Source organism: Homo sapiens, chromosome 10, assembly GCF_000001405.40.
Source record: "Homo sapiens chromosome 10, GRCh38.p14 Primary Assembly".
NCBI lineage: Eukaryota > Metazoa > Chordata > Mammalia > Primates > Hominidae > Homo > Homo sapiens.
The window spans coordinates 132,134,860-132,159,421 of record NC_000010.11 but is presented as its reverse complement, the minus strand read 5'-3'; the positions used below and the strand labels follow the sequence as shown (position 1 = coordinate 132,159,421).

The 24,562-nt window shown below is 58.0% G+C and overlaps 1 protein-coding gene across 48 annotated transcripts in view, besides 6 other annotated features; it reads right to left on the bottom strand.

Moving 5' to 3' along the window:
- Window positions 1-24,562, bottom strand: part of JAKMIP3 (Janus kinase and microtubule interacting protein 3) — a 148,495-nt gene that overhangs the window by 25,437 nt on the left and 98,496 nt on the right. For 17 of the 48 annotated variants that reach the window (NM_001392043.1, NM_001392055.1, XM_047425106.1 and 14 more), the window contains 15 exons: window positions 24,262-24,381; window positions 23,346-23,492; window positions 22,272-22,403; window positions 22,133-22,168; window positions 21,244-21,303; window positions 18,843-18,971; window positions 17,374-17,502; window positions 14,232-14,315; window positions 13,842-13,904; window positions 11,372-11,470; window positions 9,912-10,010; window positions 9,387-9,440; window positions 6,399-6,464; window positions 5,595-5,663; window positions 5,432-5,509 (listed from right to left, as the gene is read on the bottom strand). In NM_001392043.1, the coding sequence (NP_001378972.1) occupies window positions 5,432-5,509; window positions 5,595-5,663; window positions 6,399-6,464; window positions 9,387-9,440; window positions 9,912-10,010; window positions 11,372-11,470; window positions 13,842-13,904; window positions 14,232-14,315; window positions 17,374-17,502; window positions 18,843-18,971; window positions 21,244-21,303; window positions 22,133-22,168; window positions 22,272-22,403; window positions 23,346-23,492; window positions 24,262-24,381 (1,365 nt within the window). The other 31 variants (XM_011539676.3, XM_047425107.1, NM_001392042.1 and 28 more) reach the window with 15 other exon arrangements.
- Window positions 11,132-12,094: an enhancer, noted in NCBI's record as "H3K4me1 hESC enhancer chr10:133960832-133961794 (GRCh37/hg19 assembly coordinates)". NCBI's record gives its function as "activates a minimal SCP1, AML or CMV promoter by ChIP-STARR-seq in primed H9 embryonic stem cells {active_cell/tissue: H9 hESC(primed)}" and the evidence as "EXISTENCE:reporter gene assay evidence [ECO:0000049][PMID:30033119]".
- Window positions 12,516-13,015: an enhancer, noted in NCBI's record as "H3K4me1 hESC enhancer chr10:133959911-133960410 (GRCh37/hg19 assembly coordinates)". NCBI's record gives its function as "activates a minimal SCP1, AML or CMV promoter by ChIP-STARR-seq in primed H9 embryonic stem cells {active_cell/tissue: H9 hESC(primed)}" and the evidence as "EXISTENCE:reporter gene assay evidence [ECO:0000049][PMID:30033119]".
- Window positions 13,016-13,517: an enhancer, noted in NCBI's record as "H3K4me1 hESC enhancer chr10:133959409-133959910 (GRCh37/hg19 assembly coordinates)". NCBI's record gives its function as "activates a minimal SCP1, AML or CMV promoter by ChIP-STARR-seq in primed H9 embryonic stem cells {active_cell/tissue: H9 hESC(primed)}" and the evidence as "EXISTENCE:reporter gene assay evidence [ECO:0000049][PMID:30033119]".
- Window positions 16,080-16,926: an enhancer, noted in NCBI's record as "H3K27ac-H3K4me1 hESC enhancer chr10:133956000-133956846 (GRCh37/hg19 assembly coordinates)". NCBI's record gives its function as "activates a minimal SCP1, AML or CMV promoter by ChIP-STARR-seq in primed H9 embryonic stem cells {active_cell/tissue: H9 hESC(primed)}" and the evidence as "EXISTENCE:reporter gene assay evidence [ECO:0000049][PMID:30033119]".
- Window positions 16,927-17,774: an enhancer, noted in NCBI's record as "H3K27ac-H3K4me1 hESC enhancer chr10:133955152-133955999 (GRCh37/hg19 assembly coordinates)". NCBI's record gives its function as "activates a minimal SCP1, AML or CMV promoter by ChIP-STARR-seq in naive H9 embryonic stem cells {active_cell/tissue: H9 hESC(naive)}" and the evidence as "EXISTENCE:reporter gene assay evidence [ECO:0000049][PMID:30033119]".
- Window positions 21,126-21,647: an enhancer, noted in NCBI's record as "H3K27ac-H3K4me1 hESC enhancer chr10:133951279-133951800 (GRCh37/hg19 assembly coordinates)". NCBI's record gives its function as "activates a minimal SCP1, AML or CMV promoter by ChIP-STARR-seq in naive H9 embryonic stem cells {active_cell/tissue: H9 hESC(naive)}" and the evidence as "EXISTENCE:reporter gene assay evidence [ECO:0000049][PMID:30033119]".

The following is a 24,562-nucleotide window of genomic DNA, read 5'->3' as shown; positions in this document are numbered from 1 at the left end:
TCCACAGGAATAGGCCCCCTCAGTAAGACACAGGAATAGACCCCCCCCAACCAGCATCACACAGGGAGAGGCCCCCTCAGCATCACACAGGGAGAGGCGCCCTCAGCATCACACAGGGAGAGGCGCCCCCAGCATCACAGAGGAAGAGGTGCCCCCGACATCACACAGGGAGAGGCCCCCCCAGCATCACACAGGGAGAGATGCCCCCACAGCATCACACAGGGAGAGATGCCCCCACAACATCACACAGGAAGAGATACCCCCACAACATCACACAAGGAGAGACGCCCCCAGAATCACACGGGGAGAGACGCCCCCAGAATCACACGGGAAGACACAACCCCAGCGTCACACAGGGAGAGGGCCCTCTGACATCACACAGGAAGAGACCCCCCCCAGCATCACACAGGGAGAGGCCCCCCCCCAGCATCACACAGCGAGAGATCCCCCCCAGCATCACACAGCGAGAGGTCCCCCCCCCCAGCATCACAAAGGAAGATGCCCCTCCCACAGCATCACACAGGAAGATGCCCCTCCCACAGCATCACACAGGAAGATGCCCCTCCCACAGCATCACACAGGAAGATGCCCCTCCCACAGCATCACACAGGAAGATGCCCCTCCCACAGCATCACACAGGAAGATGCCCCTCCCACAGCATCACACAGGAAGATGCCCCTCCCACAGCATCACACAGGAAGATGCCCCTCCCACAGCATCACACAGGAAGATGCCCCTCCCACAGCATCACACAGGAAGATGCCCCTCCCACAGCATCTCACAGGAAGATGCTCCTCCCACAGCATCTCACAGGAGGATGCCCCCAGTCCCCTCCAGAGTAGGGGCCATTAATCCTGGCCCAACCAGCAACCATGTGCCTCCCCACTGGTCTTTGGGGCTGAATGATCCCCTGAGCAGTTGGCCCCATCTGAGGTCTGAGAACACAGCTACTGTGGAGGTGGCAGAGAGAGGTGGCCTCACAGAAAGCTGAAGCTGGGCTTTGATCTTCTGGAAATGTGTGTGGAGACCTACATCTCTAATCCCATGGGGTGTCCATGGGATGTTTGATCACAAGGACCATGGTGGCAGTTGCTCTGGGCCAGGGCCCCCACTCCTGGAGCTCTCTATGCTCAGATCCTGCATTCTGGTCAGGTCAAGGGGGCCCATAGGCCACTTCTCCACTCATGGGACAACTCTCCCGACCCAGTGGAGGGATTCTGGGACTGAGGCATCACTCCAGACACAATCTTACAAAGGGGAATTATCTGTGACGTTAGGGTGGAAAAGGTGGATGGCTGAGTAGACAGATGCTGCCGGGGGCGGGGCGGGGCGGGGCGGGGCGGGGGGGCGGTGGGCAGCCATCCTGGAGGTGCATAAATTTCCATTTCCTCTTTACACCTGCCTCACACACACCTCAAAGTAATGCTGAAAGAAAACACTGGAATTTTTTTGTACAATCTCTTTTTTTTTTCTGTACGAAGTTGAAATTATGCCATAAAACCTGGAGGCCATCAACCTCGTAAAAATTACCCAAATTCTGCCAGGCCCTCAAAACAGTGTTTGATATCAAAGAGCAACAACAAGCTGGGTGAAATATTTGCCATGTCCCATTCTTCTGACTAAGGAAATAAAGGAAATATTTGCAATGGATGGCAAAGGGCTGGTTGCCTTCTTTTATCAAGAGCTCTGACCAAAATGTCAGATAGCATGAGAGAGGTGGGAAAGGTTACAAACAGACGTGGCGTGGAGTTGCATAGAAACATGTTAGACTTTGAGCTCACCAGAGACATGCCTGCTAGGACTGCACCAGGCGGCTGCATATCATGCAGTGGAAGTTTGGGCTGCAAGTTATACCTACTATGGGGAGAAATATTCGGCAGTTCCTAACAACACCTTAAGTGTGCATACCCTTTGGTCATTCCAAATAACTTTTCCTGCAGATAATCTCCATTTGTGTGTCGGGACGTCAGAAATGGATAGGAATTGCTGTTTTGCTGGTGATAGCTAATGCATGGACAGTACCTAAGTCCACTACTGGGGATGAACAGTCCATGATGCGCTCACACCAAGTCACTCCTTGGGCTGGTGGGAAGCGCCCTGGCTGTGCACAGTCAGGTGAAAGGGAAGCATGCTGCAGCTGGTGGGTTTCTCAGGCTATCCATGAAAATGCACGTGCGCACACATGTGGTTACACCCCGCACTTCAGAGAAGGAGAAGAGAACCAGCAAGTGGGGTCCCCTTTGTTGGTGGCATCTGGAGTCCAGAGAACAGGAACGGGAAGAAAATGTCCTTTTCTACTGTGAACATTTCCTACCATTGGCATGATGACCATCTCTCGGAGAACAAGCCTCAGATAAGCATGGGGACCGCGCTTTTGCAAAGATACTATGTGTATCCCCATCCTGCCAAGAGACCATCAGGAGAGAAACCAGAATGCCCACAGTCTTTCTCTGTGTGCTGGGCACGTAGTGAACTTTTTTCTTGGATTTTTCTGTGTTGTAAATCAGAACTATACATTGATTATTCTTTCATTCAGAAAAAAAATGCAATATTAAAAAAAGAAATGCATGTCCTTCTCTTCCCTCTCCTGTCTCAAGGTGGGCTGGATTTAAAAACCTCCGCATAATCCTTAGCTCTTTTCCTCTTCACCTATGCATCACCCGCAAAGCACCTGCTGCCTGCCAGGCCTCGTGCTGGTCTAGGAGACCAGATGGCAGCAGATGCACATGGTCCCTGCTTGCCCCATAGAAAGGCAGAACCACTTCCATGAGTGGGGCATGTCAGGGCCACCTCACTGGGGGTCAGGGAAGGTTTCCTAGAGGAGACGAGGTACCAAACTGAGGCTTGCAGTGTCAATCAGGGATGGGCAGGAGAAGGAAAGGGAGGGCGCCCCAGGCAGATGGAACAGCAGCAGCGAAGGCTGGGTGGGGTCCTCTGTCTCCCGGCCTGCTGTGGTGGTGGCTGCACAGCAGTGGAGATGCCTGCCAGCTAGGCTGATCCCTAGCTGGATCCCAGCCCTCTCCACCCGGGCAGCAACATGGGCCTTGGTGCTCGTGGGAGAGCACTGTTCTAGAGGGTTCTTCCTCATCCAGCAGAGAGGAACCTGTCCATGCCAGCAATCAGCATGAGCAGGATGGAGGAGGATAAGGGGGTACGAGGAGGCTGGAGAGCAGAGGCCAAGAAGCTTCGGGGGACAGAGACTGAGCCGAGGGAGGGAGGCGGGGGCCTGGAGCCTGCAGGACCTGTCGCCTCAGCAAGAAGGTCTCTCCAGTAAGGGCAGCTGGGAGTCCCAGAAGGCGCGGGCAGAGGAGTGTCAGCTGGCTGCAGTTTGGATGGTCTGGGGCACTGAGGGGCCTCTGCTTTTTACATCAAGTGACCACCTACTTCCAGCCTCCTTCCTTCTGACCAAAGCATGCAAGGCCCAGAGGACTGCCTGGGTAAGCTAAGCGCACAGCAGCCTGTGCCTGGGAGCCGCCCCATGAGCAGGGTGGACAGACATGCTCCGTGCTGCACAGGTCCCCGGCCACCTGGAGGGACTCAGGTCTCACCACCACTGGGGCCAGCTCACCCGGGGCTGGCTCTCAGTACTCAGAGGCCGTGAGGACAGTGGCCCAGGAAGAACAGCTGGCAACCTGTGAGCTGCTCCCACGCAGTCATGTGCACACTGCTGGTCAGCAATAGTGACACTAACCATAGCAACAGGAGGGCCATTACCAGTTTAGCCAGGGCCAGCCTCCATGCCCAGCATCTTACAGGAACTCCCAATCCCTAGTGGTTACCAGCTGAGCTGGGCCTCAAACCCAGGTCATCTGCCTCCAAAGCCTCCCATGGCTCACACACTGGCTTCCACAGCAACTGACATGGGCCTTACACCCCCACCCAGGATGCTAGGTGCCTGGTGTGGCTGTTCTTTGCTCTGTAGGCTTCTGCGTTTGAGCCCTGGCCCCTCTGTGTGAGGAACTCACATCCACAAGTGCAGGAAGGAGAGATGCCTAGTGCAGCAGTCATGGCTGTGGGCACAGGAGAAGAATGCTGACATTCGACTCCTGCCTTCATTCTGACTGCGTGTCCTTGGGCAGGTCACCAGCTTCTGTGCCTGGCTGGCCAGACCAGTGCCTGCCACATAGGAAAGGCTCTTGAGTAGGCTGTCATTATAACACTATCATTACCATCCTCATCACCACCACCACCATCATCACCATCATCATTGATCACTATTGTCACCATCATGATCACCATCATCACCACCACTACCACCACTGTCATGATCATCACCACCATATCACCACCATCACCATCATCATGACCATCATCGCCACCATCATCATCACTACCTCCAGCAGCATCACCATTACCACTACTACCACCATGTCATCATGATCATTGCCATCATCATCACCATAACCATTATCATCATCATCATAATCACCATCATCCCCATCATGATCACCATCATGATAACCATTATCACCATCATAATCACCATCATCACCATCCCACTACCACCACCGTCATCATGATCACGATCATCACCATCATCATCACCACCACTATCACCACCATCACCACCACCACCGCCACCACCATCACCATTGCCATTGCCAGCACAATCATCACCACCACCATTGTCATCATCACCATTATCATCACTATCACTCTGAGAGTTCCCAGGCTGAACTTGGCCCCAGGAATGAGCATTTTCATCCCAGCCCACTTTCCCTTGCTTTGAGTAGCCAAGCAGGTCTCCTCACAGGCATGAGGGTCAAGACCCTGCCTGCTGGGCTGGGTCCCGAGGTGAACCTCTTGGTGGTGACACTTGTCTTTCCACAACATGGCCTGATATCCTCCTGGTCGTACCTTCCGTCACGTGATAGGAGTCCAGCAGGGACAGATGATTTTGCTTGTGCAGTCACGGGGGAAGTAGCTCCCAGCGGGGAACCCAGTTCTGAAGCCTAGTTTTCAACCTAGAAACGTCCTATGCTCCTCCCAGCCACACCAGATGAAATAGAACAAGACCACACCTCCCACTAGTGAGCAGGCTGTTGTCCCAGAACAGCCACCAGTTTCTCCAGTTCCTCAGGGGAAGGGTGGGAGGTAGACACCAGCCCACACCAACACCTGGATGGCCTTCAGGAATCCGGGCATGTTTCTGTGCTTGAGTGACCTGCACAAAGGCTGTAGAACATTCTCACTGCACAGTGTGGGTTTAGGCCTCCTCAACTAATCCTGCTCCGTTTATGAAGCTCCAAGTGAAGACCCCATCAGGCAGCTCTGGAGAGCCAGAGCCTGCTGTGCAGGTGTCATTAGGGGCCATTAGGGGCCCTGCGACCTGGCCCACATGGGCACCTGAGGCACTGCTGGGCACCTGAGCCACGTGGCCGTTTCAGCCCAGTGCCCCTCCCCGGGGTTCCAGCAGTCTCGTGCCTCTCACCTTGTTGGCCTGGTCCAAGGCCTGTTTCCGGTAGTCCAGCTCCTCGTCCAGGTAGCCCTTCTGCTTACTGAACAGCTCCTGAAACACAGGAGGGCCATGCCTCGGTCTCGGATGTCCCACCTGCAGCACCGAGCCGCAGAACCTCGGTGAAGGTGCCACCAACCTTCTCGCTCTCCAGATCCACCATCTTCCGCTGCAGCGCCGCCTCTGTCTCCTCAATCTGCTGGAGCCACTGGACACAAACAGAACAAGCAGGACAGTGACCCCTAGGGTCCCCCACCCCGGCTCGTGGAGACAGCTGGGAGAAAAGCCAGGACAGCCTGGGTCTTCCTTCCTCTTCTCCTTAGGGAGGGGAGAGCACAGCCCTCTCCAGGGAGTTGAGGCTGCGCTGGCATCATGGCCCCACCCCTCCCACCCTCCAGGTGTCCAGGAAGTCTACCCCTGACACCTTCTCCAGGAGAGGAGGGACACTAGCTTGGGGCACCGTAGGAGAGACACATCTGCAGAGCTCTGCCAGGACAGGCGGGGAGGGGTGGCCTGTTTCTCCAAACCCCTATGTGCCAGGAGCACCCCTTCTCCTTGCTGTGGGAGGCCCAGCTCACCAGGCAGGTCAGGGCTAGGGGTGGGACTAGGAGCAGGTAGTGGGCTGGGTGGCCCCAGAAGGGGGTCAGGGTAAGTTGAACAGAGAACGCTGCCTGCAGACTCACCATACCTTCCCGCCTTTGGGAGGAAACGCAGACAGGGTTGGTGACAGAGCAAAGTGGAGCCGAATCTGTCCTTTGCAAAGATGCACAGTGGGTGCTGTCTGACCTGAGTGTGTCAGATCTCCCAGGGCAGACGGGGCTTAGTGGACCCCCCAAACCCGGCCCTGCAGGCCCTCCTCCCGAGATCACCACCTCTGAGCTGAGCAGGGCAGGAGACCCCAGGAGCCCGGCCCTCTCCCGACTGTCCACACAGCTGCTGTTACCTTTTCGGCCAAGGTCAGGACTGTCCTGGCTTGTATGACAACCACCTGCTCCTCATTGGTCAGGTTCTGCACCCAAAAGCAGAACACAGGTGCGGTCAGAAGCAGTGCCTTTGGGGGTGAGGGTGAGTGATGGATGCATGGGGAAGCTGACTGGGGAGGCTGACTGGGGACGCCTGGGTGGGGGCCAGAGCTAAAAAGTGCTTTGACTGACATCTCCCTCCCAGCATCTCTGACACCCTTGACTTGAGCTTGTTCCCTCCGGGTGCTGCCGATTTTGTTTTCTCTCATTCTCCCTCTGCTGGTAATCACCAGGTCTAGGTAACCAGCTGAGGCAGATGCGTATGCGCTGCTCAATGCAGGCAGGCCACCAATACATCCCCAGCAGTGGCTGCTGCTCTGCCCAGCCTCTGTCCCCTTCTGTGTTTAAAGCCAGCCTCTGCATATGCACCTGTGGTTATTAAAACACCACTTGGGAACAGTGGAGGAGAGACCACATGTTCATGGCTGTGAAATGGCTGAATCCCTGGAAGGTTTTGTCTCTTTTATGCATGTTTTATTCATGCTTCCTCCCCAACCGAGGGGCCCCTGGGTGGCCCTTCTGGGTAGAGTGATTATGGCTTTCGATGTGGGCACCTCACACTCTCAGACTCTGCTGCAGCCTGCATCCAGACCAGGGCTGCCTGACTCCAGCTCGTGGGGCCTCTCTGATTCTTGCCAGCTCACTCCAAAAGCCCTGTCCATGCCATTCTCTCCCTAGAGTGCAAGCTCCCTAACAGCAGGCATCTCTTGCTGTCCCCCAACCCCAAAGTCTGCACAGGGTCTCCCACAGGGGGGAGTCAGGCTCAGTCTGTAGTCCATGGTGGGGGCCAGCTGCACTCCTGACTCAGGCAAGAACCTCATCCTGCATGGCTGGGGCCAGGTGCCCTCATCTCTCCTGCCCTGCTCCCTTCTCCCATGGCAGGGCTGGGCAGGCCACAGACCTCTCCCAACACTTTAAGTTGGGGAGGCTGAGCAGGTGGCTTCAGGGTGACTGAGGGAATCTACCCAGATGTGATTAAACCACAAGTTGCATGTGAAGTCAACACTGATTGCACAGCCAGGCTTGAAGGGCCACTGTCAGCCCACTGTCAAGAGCTCCCCAGCATCTCCACAGGTCCCCTGAGCTTAAGCCTGGCCATGAGCCCTCCAGTATCCAACCTCCTCTGTCCCTGGGCTCTGTGACAATGGCCTCAGAGGCTGCATGATGACTGCAGGGCTGTCACACTCAGTGGCACTCTTGGTGGACAGCTATGGGGCTGGGCAGGAACCCTGAAATAGGCCTGGGTGGGGCTGGGTACCCCCAACTCTGCCACTACATCAGCTCTGTGACCCTGGGCAGTGCCTTTGGGGACTCAGCTTCTCCAACTGTGAATCAGAGTTGCCCAATACAGTTCCCAAGACCTCATGATGGGGCTGATACCCAGGACTGGACCCCAGAGATGTCAGGTCCACGGCCACCCTGCTGTGGCTCTTCGGCCACCTATGACCACAGTGGAGCCCCCAGCTCTGAGAGAAGCAGACCCACACCCAGAGCCTCCCTGCTGAAAGTACCCCTGCCCTGTGCCTCACTGCTCCCCAGGGGCTGGGCAGGCAAGGGGAGAAGGGAGTCCTCGGATGCAGAGCACTGGATGGAGGAAGTGGAAGGTCAATGAAGGTAGGATGAGGGATGGATAGATGGATGGATGGAGGGAGGGGATGTGGATAGGTGGAAGGATAAAGGATGAAGGATGGAAAGATGGATAAATAGCTTATGGAGGATGGATGAATGAATGAATGATGGAGGATGCATAGATAAATTATGGAGGGTGGATGGATTGATGGATTTTGGAGAATGGATGAATGAATGGAGGATGAAGGAAGGATGGATGGAGAATGAATAGATGGATTATGGAGGATGAATGGGAGATGGATGGATGGGTGAAAGGTTAATGGGTAGAGGATGGTAGATGGAGAAGGAATGGATGGAGGATGGTGGATAGAGGACAGATGGAGGATGGAGAATGAATGGATTAGGGATGATGGATGATAGATAGATGGAGGATGGATGGACAGATTGTGGATGATGGATAAATGGATGGATTAAGGATGATGGATGAAGGATAGATGAAGGATGAAGGATGGATAGATGGATTATGGAGGACGGATAAATGAATTGTGGAGGACAGATAGATGGATTATGGAGGATGGATAAATGAATTGTGGAGGACGGATACATGGATTATGGAGGACGGATACATGGATTATGGAGGACGGATAGATGGATTATGGAGGACGGATAGATGGATTATGGAGGACGGATAAATGAATTGTGGAGGATGGATACATGGATTATGGAGGATGGATGGATGGATTACACAGGATAGATAGATGGATGGATATAAGACAGAGCATGAATGAAGGGCTAGGTAGATGGTGCATTGATGGGGAATAAATGGATGGAGAGCAGAGGATTAGTAATGGGCGGATGAAAATTGGGATGAAGAGGTGCATTATTTTGCCCACTCAGTAATTAACATTCTTTCAAGGAGTTTGCTATAGAAATTGGAACTCTGCCCCAAATGAAATTTAGGAGTTATCTATAGAGTCTGCTTTTCCCCCAAGCCAAGGAAGTGGAACCCCTAAGGGTCTTGGTTTGTCTAAGAGCAACAGCCCCCTATCCTCATGGCAAGTATGGAAGGGCTGAGAGATCCCAGAAGCTGGGCAATGTGATGGGAAGTGCCATCAGCTGGAAGAACCAGGTGTGCACAGCAGAGGCCCCAGTGGGCCCTGGAGCAGTGTGAGGAAGGCTCCGATTCTGAGCAGGCTCTGGGCCTAGTGGAGGGTCTCAGGCAGGGTGGCCCATGGCAGGGCTGTGGGAGGCTGGCAGGGCCTCCTGGACCCCAGAGGGGCTGGGCTGGGGGTTGTGGGTGTAAGAGGCATGCACAAGCCAGGAGAGCGACATACACTTACGGCGTTATCGCCCAGGATGTCCAGCTTCTTCATCAGCTCCGCAACCACAATGTCCTAAGGCACAGAGGACAGGTAGGGGTGAGTGGCCACGGGGTGGGCAGAGGGGGTGGGGAAGGACAGGGCAGGGAAGGGCGGAGGGGAGGTGGTGGGGGTGGGGGAGGGGGAGGGGAGGGGCAGGGGTGAGGTAGGGCAGGGTGGGGGCAGGGGTGAGGTAGGGCGGGGTGGGGGCAGGGGTGAGGTAGGGTGGGGTGGGGGCAGGGGTGAGGTAGGGCGGGGTGGGGGCAGGGGTGAGGTGGGGCAGGGGTGAGGTGGGGGGGTAGGGGTAGGGTGGGGGCAGGGAGGGGGTGAGGTGGGGCAGGGAGGGGGTGGGGCGGGGGTGGAGAGGGTGGGGCGGGGGCGGAGGGGGTGGGGCGGGGGCGGAGGGGGGTGGGGCGGGGGCGGAGGGGGGTGGGGCGGGGGCGGAGAGGGGGTGGGGCGGGGGATGGGTGAGGTGGGGGCGGAGTGGGCAGGAGGGGCGGGACTCACCGTCACACCTTCGGCCTCGCAGTACACCTGGAGGGGGCTCTTCCCGTCCACGAAGGGCGTGTGGTGGAAGCTGATGGCGGGTGACTTCCTCTCCCTCTCCTAGGACAGAGGGACAGAAGGGTGAGCCGCTCCCCTCCCATCCCTTCCCTCTAAGAGGACTGTGCTGGGGCCTGAGGAACACGGGCCAAGACCATGGAACCAGGGATCAACACAGCATTTATGAAAACCAAACCGCAGCGGCAGCAGTGGTGGCAGAATCTGCACTGGACCTGGACCTGCCCACAAGGACTGCCCCTGTATATTCGCTGACCCCAGATGTGCCGGGCAGAGTTCATCACACTCTGGCCACGTGGCCTGGGCAGTCCCACCCTGAGCCCACGGGCACATCCCTCAGTGAATCCCAGGGGCTATGGGGAGGATCAGGGGAGGGGCTGCAGGTTGCATCCCCTTCAGGTCTGACCAGAGGAGCCTCTGGAGAACACAGGCTGGCAGTGCTGCCACTGTCCCCACAGGCAGGCCCACGTGGCCGAGGTCGTCCACACATGGAGTGACCACACAGCTGCCCTGTCCTCCGGCAGTGGACGGGCAGACTCTTAAGAGGCGGCTCCAGCTGGACTGTGAGGCTCCAGGTGCTGGCCTGAGACGGAGGCCTCGGGGCTGTGTGTGGTGCTCGGCAGGGGCGGCCCCTGTGTGGGCCACTTCCTCCCAGCCCCACAGGTGGACCACCCTTGCCGTGAAACAATCACAGCGACGTGGCTGCCCACACCCAGCCTGAGCTGCCCGTGGGATTCCCCTCCTCCCTCCTCCTGTGCAGGTCATGGCAGAGGACACAGGGCCAGGGATGGCAGGGCACAGGCAAAGGGCTCCCAGTCACCGCGTGGCCCCCACTGTCCTCACTCAGGGGCAAGAAACAAACGTCTGCCGACGGCGGAGGCCTGGACAGAGCCCCACACCAGCTGCAGCAGGGCCACGGGGGCGGATGGAGGACGGGCGGATGGAGGACGGACGTGCCGGCTCCTTGGGGGTGGATGGAGGACGGGCGGATGGAGGACGGGCAGATGGAGGACGGACGTGCCAGCTCCTCACCCCACAGGTCTGGAGCAGATGCTGCACTGTCACCCGTCGTGCTTTTGTTTTGTTTTCCCTGCATGACACTGAGCGCCACGGGCCATTTCCCCCATATTTACACGTGCTTTGGGCGGCTGGCCTCATCCTTCGTATGAAGAGGTGGTCCCTGCCTGACACTGAGCTCCATGGCCCATGTTCCCCATTGGATGTTTGGACGGCCGGTATGAAGAGGTGGCGGTTTACGGCCATTTGCCTCTTTCCTCCCTGACGCAGCCTTTTGGGTTCATGTTCATGTTCATGTTCATGTTCAGGGCTTTGTGTGGGTTAGGAAGGCTGAGGACTAGATCCCTGACACAGCCACAGGCCACAGTGCTGGCCATCCACTCAGCTACCTCAAGCTCCAGGATCCTGAACTCCAGCAGCTCGTTTTGGTCTCTGGCGTCCTGCACCTCGTGTCTGAGCCGAGCCTCTTCCGTCTCCATTTGTTTGATCTGCAACATAAAAGATGCATGAGGTGAGGGGTCTGGTTCTCTCTCACCAGAGGTCTTGGGAGGTCAACTCCAGGCTGACGGGACAGCTGCTGGCTGCCGGGGAGGCCGGCTGGCCTGGTACCCAGCCCTGGAAGCGCCTCACAGCCCTCGGTATGTTTGGGTTTGTCCTAGTGAGATAGCCTAGCCATCCGGTGGTGGGTGGGGCTGGGCAGGCAGCACCGCATACCACAAGCCAGGAGCCTGGCGATCATATCGGGGCCCTGAGCTTGGGTGGCCCCTGGACAGGGATGTGGAAGGGAGGCCGTCAAGGATAAACGTCTCCAGCAGGGGCTGTACATCACAAGCCAGGAGCACGGGGGCCTTAGCGGGGCTCTGAGCTAGGATGAGGAAGGGAGGCCGTGGAGGGTAAATGTCCCAGGTGGCTCCCGGGTGCCCCTTGGAGCCCAGGCTGTGCCCAATGGAAGGAGCGGGTACCACGGCTGCCTGGCCACCGGAATTCACTTGGCTAATTAAGGAGCTGTTTAAACGGAACCAGTTACGAGTAAACCGGATGCAGGAGTCCCCCACCCCTTCCAAAGGGTCAAGTGACACGGCCCACGGCATGTGTCCTCAGCAGCCTCATGAGGGCAGGGGCCACCAGGGGCAGACAGCTGTGTCCATCCCCTGAAGCTGAGCTCCAGGGACTGAGGGACCTGCTCTGATGCTCAGGGGACCAAGATAAACTCAGAAGCATTGCATCCTTGGAGTGAGCCGGCTCAGTGGGAGCTGGACCCCCTTGCAGGGCCAGCTGTGTACTGCTGCACAGTGGGCCTGCCGTGGAACACCTGCAGGGCCAGGAATGTGATCTGCACCCAGTGTAGCCAGAAAAAAGCATGGCTCCAAGTGTGCACATGCGCATGTGTGTACGTGCACAAGCATTTCCATGTGCGTGCCAGCATCTCTGTGTGCATGTCTTCAAGTGTACATGCCAGCATTTACGTGTGTGCGTGTTCAAGTGTGCACGCAGGCATTTACGTGTGTGCGTGTTCAAGTGGGTGCCCTTAAGTGCACGTGGATCTCTGCCTGTGCCGGCATTTACGTGGCACACACAGCACTGTGCTGAGCCCTGTGGAAACGCACTTCTAATTTAAGAGATGTTCCGTGTGTCCACGGGAAACATGGGGGTGTCGTTCGCCATTCAAGATGCAAACCAAGCCTAAAGCAGGACCCCCAGAGGGCACGACCAGCCCTGGGCTGGCAGCAGTGCAGAGTCTGCATTGGACGCCTCTGTTTGTCTGAAGCTCTGTCCTGTTGGCACAGATCAGACTCATCAGCCAGGCTACCCTAGCTTCTCCCCAGAGGGCCGCACCTGCCAGCGTGAGACATCGCTGCCTCCTCAGGACACCTGTCCCTGCCCATGGACAAGTGGGGTGGGGGTCACACAGAGCACCCCTCACCTGTGCGTGGTAATGACAGCCCTGCTGGCCTTCCTGCCCCTGGACCCGTAGCCAGCCCCGCCCCTGCCTCATGCCACATCACCTGCTCCCACAGTTGTGAGGTGCACCCCTCTTGGGATGGCCCTGGACTGCCCAGACCTAAGTCTAGGGCCCTCGGTGCTGTGACTCCCTCTTTAACCCAGTGCAGGGAGCAGCTGAGCCAGGTGGGCCTGATGTGGTGGGAGGTGCCGAGAGAAACCTGCACTCCCTTCCCTGCACCTCAGGCAGAAGCTAAGGCCACTGAGAGCAGCCTGGCCACACATCGCATGTTCTGATCTGTTTTACGTCTGATAGTCTTCCAGACCACAAAGCCCGGGCCAGGGTGGGGGTGGGGGTGGGGGTGGGGGCGGGGCAGCACTTCAGGAGCCTCTTGTCATCTGGGACCAAGAGAGCCTGGACCTGGGCCTGCCAGGTGACGCCTTGCCGAAGTCTCAAACACGCACTTGCTCAGCCAGGCTGGTCCATGGGCTCTTCCCCGAGGACTTCAGCTTCCCCACAAGCGTTGCTGGAAGGAGACTTCCCTGACCCAGCCAGGCTTCCCAGGGGGATGATTCTAGTGGTCTCAATAAAGCTCCTCTGTCACGATGCTCTAACCAGCCCACCCACAGAACCATCAGCACAACGGGACACGAATGGAGATGCTGCTGCAGATAGGGGCCTGCCCGGACCCAGGAGAACAGGACCCAGGAGAACAGGCCCCAGCTCCCTCTGTCCAGGCCATCCTCCTCCCCAGGGCTCCTGATGGGGTCCCGCAGGAGGGAGCAGAGCAGAAGGGGCCTGGGACAGCCATTCAGAAGCCTCAGCCCTCGCTCCATCCTTCAGCCCCGCAGGGACCACTGCAACCCCCAGGAGCATAGAGCGAGTCCTGCCAGGGCCTCCAGGGGTTCGGGGCTCACCTTTTCCACAAGCTCTTGATTTCTCCGGTACAGTGCCTGCTTCTCTTCAATCCACTTCATATCCTTGCAAATGGAATTGAAAGAAATAAAGACACTGAGGGAGGAACTCATAAACCAACGTTTAAATCGTGATGTGGCAGAACACCAAAGACCAGTCTGGCCAGCGTGGCAAAGCCCCGTCTCTACAAAAAATACAAAAATTAGCCGGGCGTGGTGGCACATGCCTGTGGTCCCAGCTACTCAGGAGGCTGAGGTGGGAGGATGGCTTGAGCCCAGGAGGTCAAGGCTGTAGAAAGTTATGATCGCACCACTGAAGCTTGTCTTTAGGTACAGCCAAATACCTCCCACCCACGTGTGCCCCCACGCCCGTGCAGATGGCTGCAGGCTCACCTGCCCCTGCTCCGCCAGGGCCTTCTCCAGGTCCTCTATCCGCGCCTGTGCCCTCTGCACTTCGGCTTGTAGCTGCTCACGGGTCTGTAGGACGGGAGGAAAGATACATCAAATTTTCTCTAAAAGCTGGGACAGACAGCACACACACTCGTGGGACGTCAGAAGGGTCTGTCTTTTGGTTCAGTTCATTGAGAAGTGACTGTTCGCCCTTCCTTTGGAAGAGATGCTTTCTAAGAGAGGGAGAACTGTTTTGTTTTTTTTTGAGACAGGGTTTGGCTCTGTCATCCAGACTGGAGCTCAGTGGCACAATCTTGGCTCACTGTAACCTCCGCCTCCCGAGCTCAAGTGATCCTCCCACCTCACCATCCTGAGTAACTGGGACCACAGGTATGCACCACCACACCCCACTAATTTTTGTATTTTTTGTAGAGACGGGGTTTCACCATGTTGCCCAGGCTGGTATCAAACTCCTGAGTTCGAGCAACCCACTTGCCTCAGCCTCCCAAAGTGCTGGGATTACAGGAGTGAGCCACTGCGCCCAGCCCTGGAGGGAGAACTTTAAGGCTTATTTGAAGCAAGAGATCTCACTTAGATTCTAAGGGGAAATCCTGCAGGTTGATTTTGAGAGCCTGTTAGGAGAAATCTTTGTTTACAGGATGACACAGCCAATGAGGATGACTGAGGCCTAGCGTGTGCTCAGCCCTGCCAGGTGCCGGCCAGAGGGCTTTGTTCGAGGGACTCTCCACATGGACCCGCTGGAAGCCCCGGGTGGTGCCGCTGCCTGTACTGGAGCTGCCCCTCTGGAAGCCCCGGGTGGTGTGGCTGCCTGTGCGGGAGCTGCCTCAGCCCAGGGCTCACTGCCTTCCTGAATTCTGTGTTCCTTAACTGACTCCCAGAGCCCGCCCCACATCTACAGGAAAAGCCCTGGCGCTTCCCCCGTCCGCATCCTGGTTTGTGAAGTCCCTCCCGAGTGCCACCGAGGCTTCTAGCCGAGGTCTGAGCCACCTCCCTTAATTCACTTTGCTGTGGTGGCTCCGAACCATGGGGCCACAGTGGCTCCTGCTCTCTCTGGGGATAGCTTCCAAGGGAGAGGTGCGTTTCGGGACAGGACGCAGGGTCAGAGGATCCATCAGCCGGGGTGGGGGGTGGGCGAAGGCGTGACCTGTGGTGCCCGCCCCCGAGTGCTTGGTCCCAGCTCCCTGCCCCCAGGCCGTCCTGGGCTCCTCCCATCACCCCAGCCTCTTCCCTCCCTTAAGGGGTCACAATCGTGGATGTGAGCCCTTGGGTTGGAGAATGCTTAGCAGAGAGGGAATTCCAGTTAGTCCTAACCCTGTTTCCGGACAGGGAAACGGAGCCCACAGAGGGCTGTGGGCCCCCTGCAGCCTCAGGACCGTGGCAGGGATGGGCCCACGTCCATGTCTTCAGACGCCTGTCCTCTCCTGCCCCCTTCCTTATCCTGAGGCTTCCTCGATTTCCACAGTGAGGAGTGACATTTCCAATTATAATACAGAATCAGACTGTGGGATGCCGGCTAGTCTATTTTCTTCATTAATCTTTTCTGTATCTTCTAGTTTTTAAAATAACCATGCAGCACTTCTCGGCATCAGATTTTCCTCTGATTCTAAATGACATTAAACTTTTTTTTACATGCAGTTTGGACATTTTTACTCTCTAAGCAAAGCTTCTGAGTTCTTTGCTTCCATGTGGCCCCCGAGCAAATGTTTCTCTGGCACCCGACAGGAAAAAGGGAAGACAGGATGCTTTCTCCAGCTCCTCCAGCTCCTGGCGAGCTTGGCCAGGAGGATGCGGCTGTTGCCCCGCCCCCGCTGTGAGGGAGAAAGGCTGGGCCCATGAGGCTCTGGGATGTCTCGGGGCTGCTGTGCTTTATGATGCTCTGAACCGAGGCCTTGACTTTTTCCTTTCTCCAAGGGTCATGCAAAAATTAAGTCAAAGTGAAAGAGGCGATATTTAAAGTCCCCAGTTACGGAGACAAATCTCTCCGAGCCTGAGGAGGGGACGCCCCCTCCAAGGCCAGCCCCCCCCACCCCGACTCAGGACAGGAGGAGGGCACAGAGGGGTGGAGCTCTCTCTTAGTTTTCACAACAGACGTCCCCAATGAGGTGCCAGGAAGGCAGGAGGGAAACCAGCCACGTCACCAGGGCGGTCTGGGTGGACAGAGGATGAGGCTGGCGGCTCCCTGGGGCACTAGCGTGGACCACGCTGGGGATGCTCTGTGGACACTCTCCCCTCGCCCCAAGAGGTCCGTCCCCCACCCAGCTCAGCCACCCTAAGTTGCAGAATTGCCAGACACTGGCATCTCTGGCCCTGCAGGGTGGTTTTGGGGTGGGGAGGCCAACGGGAACCCCACACCCCACAGCTGCCTGCTCTGGAGAACCCCTCAGCTCCCCCGGAAAGCAGCCCGTCTCGCTGTGAGGGGTACCAGGTGCAGGTCCTCCAGCGGCTTCCCCTCCGAGCCTCAGTAAGGGAGGGTGGGGCGGCAAGAGGACCCCCGACCCATGGCCCACGCTCTCCCCACGAGGCCTGGTGCCTGCACTGCCCTCCACGGCCCGCAGAGGGCACCCGCCAGCCACACTGAGGCCTTTCCTGGGGGACGACGCTAAGGTGAGCCAGGGAAGTGGGCGGAGGGACACGGCTGCTGGGGTGCTGCCCAGTGGGGAGGCCGGGGGAGAGGGGCCGGGGCCGGGGCCGGGGCAGGCACAGCCTGTGTGAGCTCAGCCTTTGAGGATGAATGACCTCCACAAGTTTCAACACCGAGCTCGATGCTGCCACGGGCCATCGCCATGCTGCCAAGAGTGGAAGAGGTGGTCTGGAAGGAGGCCCACCCTGGGCGCTGTGGGCCCCTGCCACCACTACCACCCCGCCTCCCCCAGGACCCTTACTCACACCTGTGCCTGGCACCGCTCTGGGCCAGTCCCTCCCACCTGGGCCAACTCCCAGCACCGGGATCCCCAATCCCTGGTTTTGATCGGCTTCCATGGGCACCACCAGGACTGCAGGCAAGGGCAGGAGAGGAGGGGCCCGGGCCCAGGAGGGCTAGTGAGGGGGGTGTCCCAGCCCAGGCCACGGGGTCAAGCGGGAAGGCACGAGGGGGGCCGGAACGCGCGGTGGAAGTCACGTAGACCTTAACTTCTCGCTCTGCGTCCAGCGTCCCTCCAACCTGCTCCTGCAACAAAGCGTAGGCACGCTGCAGGGCCTGGTACTCCATGGTCAGCTGCCGGAACCTCAGCTCCGTCTCCTCCTTGGCCATGCCCTGGAGAGACACGGATGCCACACACGCACAGAGACACAGTGTCAGTAGCCAGCACCTCCTCCGATGGCGGGGCCCCGGGGCTTCCCTTCTCCCCAGATATCAAATGGTGTATGGGGGGGTCTCTCTAGCAGCATGAGGGAGGGGACCTGCTCCAGTGTGCAGGGAGGGGCGGCTGCCTGGGGACTCAGTGCTGTTTGGAGAAAGGTTTCCCTGGGGAGGGGAGCACCGAGCCCTGGGGTGGGAGCTGAGTCGGCTGCACGGCTGAGGACAGGGTGAGCCTGCTGGGCTGGTGGCCATGGCCAGGGGCTCAGCTGGGGCTCCTGCTTGCTAGCCAGGCTGCCCTGACCCAGCAGACCCTCTGTTACCAACCAGGCCTGCACACGCTCTGCTCTGCTGAAACACGTCCTGGGAAGAAAGCTGGGCTTTGTGAAGGGGGTAAAGTACCCCAGGCAGCACGTCTCCTCCCAGGTGCACTCTTGCAGGCTCACCCTGCTAGCTGCAGTGCCCCCCGTCACCCCAGGGAGAAGACAGGTGAGCCTGCTGCTGCCTTCAAAGGGTCCCGGTGGACCCCCGGGGCTGGAAGGGTTGGCCACGTCTAGGAGTGACTGAGCCCAGAAGCCTTGGCCTGGCCCAGTTCCCCTGCCCAACCCTGCACCTGAGGCTGTGAGAGGATGTCTTAGATCCCTCAACAGGTCTATGGCCATTGGGCCACCCTCCAGGGTCTGCCACGGGAGGCCCAATCCTTGGCTGTGCCATTGACTGCAGACCCCACTCCTTGTCCCACAGCCACAGGGTCTGGGTCCCACAACACCAAGCCCCGACCTGGTGCTGAAATGGCTGCCTGCGCCTGAGGGTAGCCGTCCTTCTGGAAGAAGGGGCTGGTGGGCAGACACACCTGTGCTGTTATCAGAAAGAAAACTCCTGCTCAACACCCCTCACCCTAATGTGCTCTTGGCACTGAGACCAAACTCCCTGATGAGTGGTTCAGACCCTCCTGGGGAGGCCCCTTAGGAAGGGAGAGCTCACCGTACCCCTATGCAGAAGGGGCGTAGGCTCAGTGGCAGAAGGAGGCATGGTTTGGCCTTCATGGGAGCAAGAGCGGGCCTCAGCCCACACCCCAAGCCATGTCATGGGAGCTTCTCACCGTGCCCGAGTCAGCTATCAGCGGGTCAGTGCCAGTGAGGGCCGCGAAGGGCTTCCCCGTGAAAAGCCGGCAGCCCATGCCCAGCCAAGCCCAGGACCCGGCAGGAGACCCTCGTTACCTCCTCCAAGCCCAGGACCCGGCAGGAGACCCTCGTTACCTCCTCCAAGCCCAGGACCCGGCAGGAGACCCTCGTTACCTCCTCCAAGTCATCGTCCGGGGTGCACGGGGTCTGGTCCGTCCTGTCTGTTTGGTAAGAGACGGAGGAGCCGTCGGATTCCAGGGAAGCCTCTTCGTCGTATCCAAAGAAGGTCTCCACAACCACCGGCTTGTGACCAAAATGCGACGTGTCAGTTCAAACCAGACCCAGGCACAGCCGCCTCCTCCCGCCGCCTCCTCCCGCTGCCCAACGGTGGGGGCCGCAGCCCCACCCTGCGACACACTCCCATCTCTGTCCCTGGCACAGGCCGAGGAGGTGGCCTGGGTGTGAGGGGCGCTCTATGGCAAGGCTGGCAGGGCGGGTGGGGAAGGGGCCTGGAGTCCCGTGGGTGAGCGGGTCCTGGCCCTGCCCTTGGTGGTGGGGAATGAGGCCCTTCGTGGGGCACCGTCCCTGCGGTTCCCTGAGGGTGGTACCCGGGTTAACAGAACCGACGATGGGTGCCTTCCCTGTGTGATCTCATTCCCAGTGATGCATTTCTGTTCCATTTTTTAAAGTTTCAGTCCTTGACTGATTGGAATACAAACAAAAACGGGGTCCTCCGCCAGCTGGTGTGAGAGGCCCTGCCTTTGGGGACCCTCCAGGTTCACCCCGACGTCTGCATCTTTAGGGCCCCCTCACCCCTGCCTTCAAGAATCGAAGAGGGACTCATCTGGGTCCCCTTCAGAAGTGTTACAAAATGGAAAGCCCGCCATCTTCTTCAGTCCCTTCTGCCGTGGCCACAGTGGCCTCCAGGTCTCCTCCCAGTTCTTCTGCCAGAACCTTCCAGCAAAACTCCCTCAGGGACCCCAGGGCCACCCGACTTCCCCTACTCCCCGCCAACCACTGGCCCCTGTCCTGTGTGCCTCCCCACACCCTGTGTCCTCCCTTCACAGGGCCAAGGCGTCTGCTGGACACTTCCAAATCCCAGAGGGGTCCCGAGCGGGGAGAGCCTGGACAGCTCCTCCTCTCCACCTTTCAGAGGGCAAGTGTTTGTGACCGAGGAGCATCTCACAGTCTAACAGCGAGAAAACACTGCTGACAGCTTACAAGCCACACACACACTCACACTCACACATACACACTCACATACTCTCACACACACTCACACATACACACATGCAGACACATATACACTCACATGTACACACAAACACACACACACACTCACACATACACACTCACATACTCATACACTCACATACTCACACACGTACAGACGCATATACACTCACATGTACACACATACAAACACACACACATACACATACACACTCACACACATACACAGATGCATATACACTCACATGTACACACATACACACACACACATACACACACAGATGCATATACACTCACATGTACACACATACACACACACACTCATACACACACATACACAGACACATACACACATGTACATACACACTCATACTCACATACACATGCACACACACACAGATGCATACACACACATGTACACACATACACGCACTCACACACACATACACATACACACACACACACACACACTCAACATAAAGCAGGAGATGAGTTAGGTCCTTTGGCAGCTGCTCCAAAGCCTCCCTTAATAAAAATCATAGGTTTATCACAAAGGATTCTACTGTAGAGAAATGATGACAGGTGTTCACATTTCCTGGGGACGTGGGTCTGCCCTGTGGGGCCTGTGGATGAGGCTGCCACAGCCTGCAAGTGTGGCCGAGGACGGTGAACGGCAGGACAGGCGAGCGTGGGGTGTGTGGCACAGCCAGGATGGGTGAGTGTGAGCAGCCTCAGCCGCCCGTCCTCAGAGCCGTGCATCCCACAGGTCGTGGGGACTCGGACCCTACACAGGCAGTGAGGACACCAGAGCCGGCACCTCTTCATTGCTAGTGTTGCTGGTATGGTTGTTACCAATTCCTATCTTCTCTTGGAAATTTGAAAGAAACAAGTTTATTAAAAATGATAAACAGAATATTTTCTTTGGGTCCTATTTTGGTCATTTCACAGTAACAATTTTTAGAAATAATAAAATTGTTTTTTCATCTCCAAAGACTGATTCCTACTAAGCACACGCCAGCACGCTCTCCACACACACCAGCGCTCTCCACACACGCGGGCGCGGTCCTCGGCACACACACCCAGCGCCCTCCACATACACCGGCGCACCCCTCTCCGCACACACCCGGCGTACTCTCCACACACGCGGGCGCGGTCCTCTCCACACGCACCCGGCATACTCTCCACACACGTGGGCGCGGTCCTCGGCACACACACCCAGCGCCCTCCACGTACACCGGCGCACCCCTCTCCGCACACACCAGCGCTCTCCACACACGCGGGCGTGGTCCTCTCCGCACACACCCGGCGTACTCTCCGCACGTGCCGGTGTGCTGTTCCTTACCTTGGGAAGTTTTGCCATTTTCTTTCTTTGCTTCCGGAATCTTAACAGCTTGTCCCGCTCCTGCGGAAGCCAGTTGAAGAGGTTGTGTAAGTGGTAGAGCAGCTCCACCGGTTTCAGTCCACGGTTTACTGCCCGTGTGCCATCATTTGGATGACAGGGAAGACGGTGTCTGGGCTGGCTTGTCCCCACACCACAGCGGGAGGCCCTGGCTCCAGCTCTGCTCCTCGGGGAGCTCCTGTCTCCAGGGTGACACGGACGGCTCCCCAATTAGGTGGGCTCTGAGCTTGTCTTGCTCAATGGTCTACCAGCTCCCCTTCTAAATGCGTCCAGGGGCCACACGGGGCAGGTGACTTGAGGGGCACACAGTTGTGGGAAGCTGGAAGGGGACTCATGGCCAGGGCCCCTCCGGACCCTGCAGGGGTGGCGTCCACATCTGTGTGGGGACTGGCGCCCTTAAAATACTAAGGAGACCAGGGTCCTGCTGCTCTCCGGGGAACCCATGCTGTGGTTTCATGGCCGTGATGGTGAACCTCTTGGGCTGCGGCTGCCTGTCTGTGCTGGCCAGGGAGAAAGGCATGGTGGGGTGAGCAGCCGGAGAAGGGCAGCCGTCTGACCCTGGCCATTAACTGAGAAACATGATCGTCCCAAGCTGGTGCTGTCTCAACTGGGGCATCAGTGGGTGTCCCTGGCTCCTCTCTGACCCACACTGAAGGGCGTCAGCCACCCGTGCACAGCCTTGGCCAGGTGGCACTGCAACAACAAAATCCACCCGAAAGGCTGCCGCGGCCGCTTCTGTCTGGTCTGTGAGGAGCCCTGGGCACAGAATGGGTCCCACGGGCAACTGCGTGGGGAGCGGAGGCGTGGGGAAGCGGGCGCTGACCATACTTACTAACACGCTCTTCACGTAGCCGGCGGTCTCAAGGGTCTAGGAAAGGAAGACAGCATGTTACGGAATTGCTCAGGGTCCCTGTTAGCCAAGCCCCTTGGGAGCCAGAGGACGGGGCCGCAGCAAACAGCCCGCCGGGTACCTTAGACAGTTCATCTATGAGGTTTTGCTGCTCCACAATCTGAAGCTTCAAGAAATCGACTTCTCTCTCATCCTGACTTTGATCAAGGTCATTCAAGGAACTGGGTCTCCGTATGATTCCAGCTCTCTGTCTCTGAAACGCCAAGCAGCCCACATCACAAGTTGGGGAGTGAAGGGGTCTGGCTGAACACAGTGGGTCGGCGGGGGGGTCTTCTCCCTCAACCCGGGCTGCCACTCTCAGCTGCCCGGCTGGCGGCCTCTGCTCAGGCCTCAGAACAGCCCAGCTGCAGAGTCCCTGGGGAAATGAGGCCTATGTGGGCCCAGTCCTGCAGCAAGGGCAGGTGTGTGCAGCCCGGACAGACACACATGGGCCCTGCGGGTCTCCCAGAAAGCATGGCTGGAGGGGATCGCTCACAGCCCTGAAGCTGACACTGGGTCATCTGTGCCCATTTCCCATGTGGCCTCCTCTCCCAAATCCCTCCTGACTCTAATTCAGTGTGAAAAGAAGGGGGCTTCCATAGAGAGGGGTAAGGAGAGCGCCTCTCCCCCACATCCGGCTGAATTACTCATTGAGTAAACTCTGGCTTCATGGCCTTTGGGGTCCTCAGGGCAGGGGAACGTGGTGACACCGGCTGACGGCCCCCCACTCCTGGCTCATGGCCTTGGCGGAGCAGAGACTCCCTGCCCCCGACTCCTGCTTGGCGCTGTGTGCCAGGCCTCCTCTCCTCCCCAACAGCCGGGACTCCGCAGCCTCTTACTACCCTCGCCCGGGATTTTCCGAGTTGGAGGCCACCTGTTCCAGGCCCTTGAGTGAGACGTGGGCAAACAGGCCTGGGGAGGGGACGCCCCACAGCCGCATCCTTTGCAAGGTCAGGGCCTCCTCCAAGGGTCCCCCTCCCCAGGGCTGGGCTTGGCGGTTGCTCCCCTTCAAACATGCGTGAGGCCAGACTCCAGCAGAAGGCCTGGCCACCCGCCCGGGACCGGCTGTCATGCTAAATCTTGCGTGGAGAAGGGAGGAGATGCTGCCTGGAGCTCGGGTGCGACCGTGGCCCCGTGGAGCCCCCCACCCCCTCACCATTTCTATGTTCTCCTGGGTGACAAATTTTAACTTGTTTTCCATTCGGCGTAAAGCATGAGACAAATCCTCGTTCTTCCGACTGAGGCGCTTGTTTTTATCCAGCAGAGGCTTGTACTGACTCTCAGCTTCTCTTACGCGCTTCAACTGAAAGACAACGCACTATGTGATTGTTCTTTAAGTGACGGAGAACCAGCAGGTCTCCACGCAGAGTCGGCTGACTGACCACAGCTTGGGCTGCAACAACGCAGTCCCCAGCCCTCTACTTGGGAAGTCCACGCCTCCAAGTGGTGCCCACTGGCCCAGCGCCCGGGTGAACCCACTTGCCCAGAGCACTGGTGAACCTGCTCGTCCAGTGCCCAGGTGAACCCGCTCGCCCGGTGCCCTAGTGAACCCAAGCTCAGGGCTGGGCTCGGCGTCCCCGGGGGTGAGTCCCGTCCCATTGACAGATGGGGATGAAGATGAAGACCAGCAGTCTGGGGCCAGCGCTTTGTCTTGCCAAGAAGGGCTGTGGTAAAACCACCCAGCCTACTGGACCCTTGCAGACACGTGACAGCTCACGCACCCTCCGGGATATCGAGTTACCTGGAAATCTCAGTGGCTATAAGGACCAATGGCAACAGCCCCACTGAGAGGCCGCGTCTGCACATCCCAGATCACCTGCAGAACAGAGGCGGCTTCTGCCCCCACTAACGCAGAGCAGGGGTTAGTCAACCAGCCCTTGAGGGGCAAATGTGACCCCTACCTGTTTTTGCTAATAAAGTTCAACTGGAACACAGTCAGGAGACTTCGACGCAAGGCCGGTCCTTGCAACCACCACTCCTTTACGCAAGGAATTTTGAAAGTGGATGCCCCCCAGGTCCCCAGCTCCGCAGTCACAAACCCCCAGGAGCCAGAAGCCCCCGCCCGCGCTCACCAGCTCATTCCTCTCTTCCGACAGCAATGCATTGCGGTCCTCCAGTTTGCGGATAATCGCACTTAACTCCGCGATTTTAAGCTGGAAGCGCCGGGCATCTTTTTCATCCAACTGCTGTTCCTAAAACAAAAATCAACTGCAAATAACGGTTCCTACCCACAAGCCTGGGAAGCCTTTGCAAATCCCAGCACGCTACGGGAACAAAAACGCTGCCGTGGGACGCGCGCCTTTACCTCCACGCGGCTGCCGGGAAGGTTCGGAGCCCCCCGGGGAAAGGCACCCAGCCTGGCACTGTGGTTGC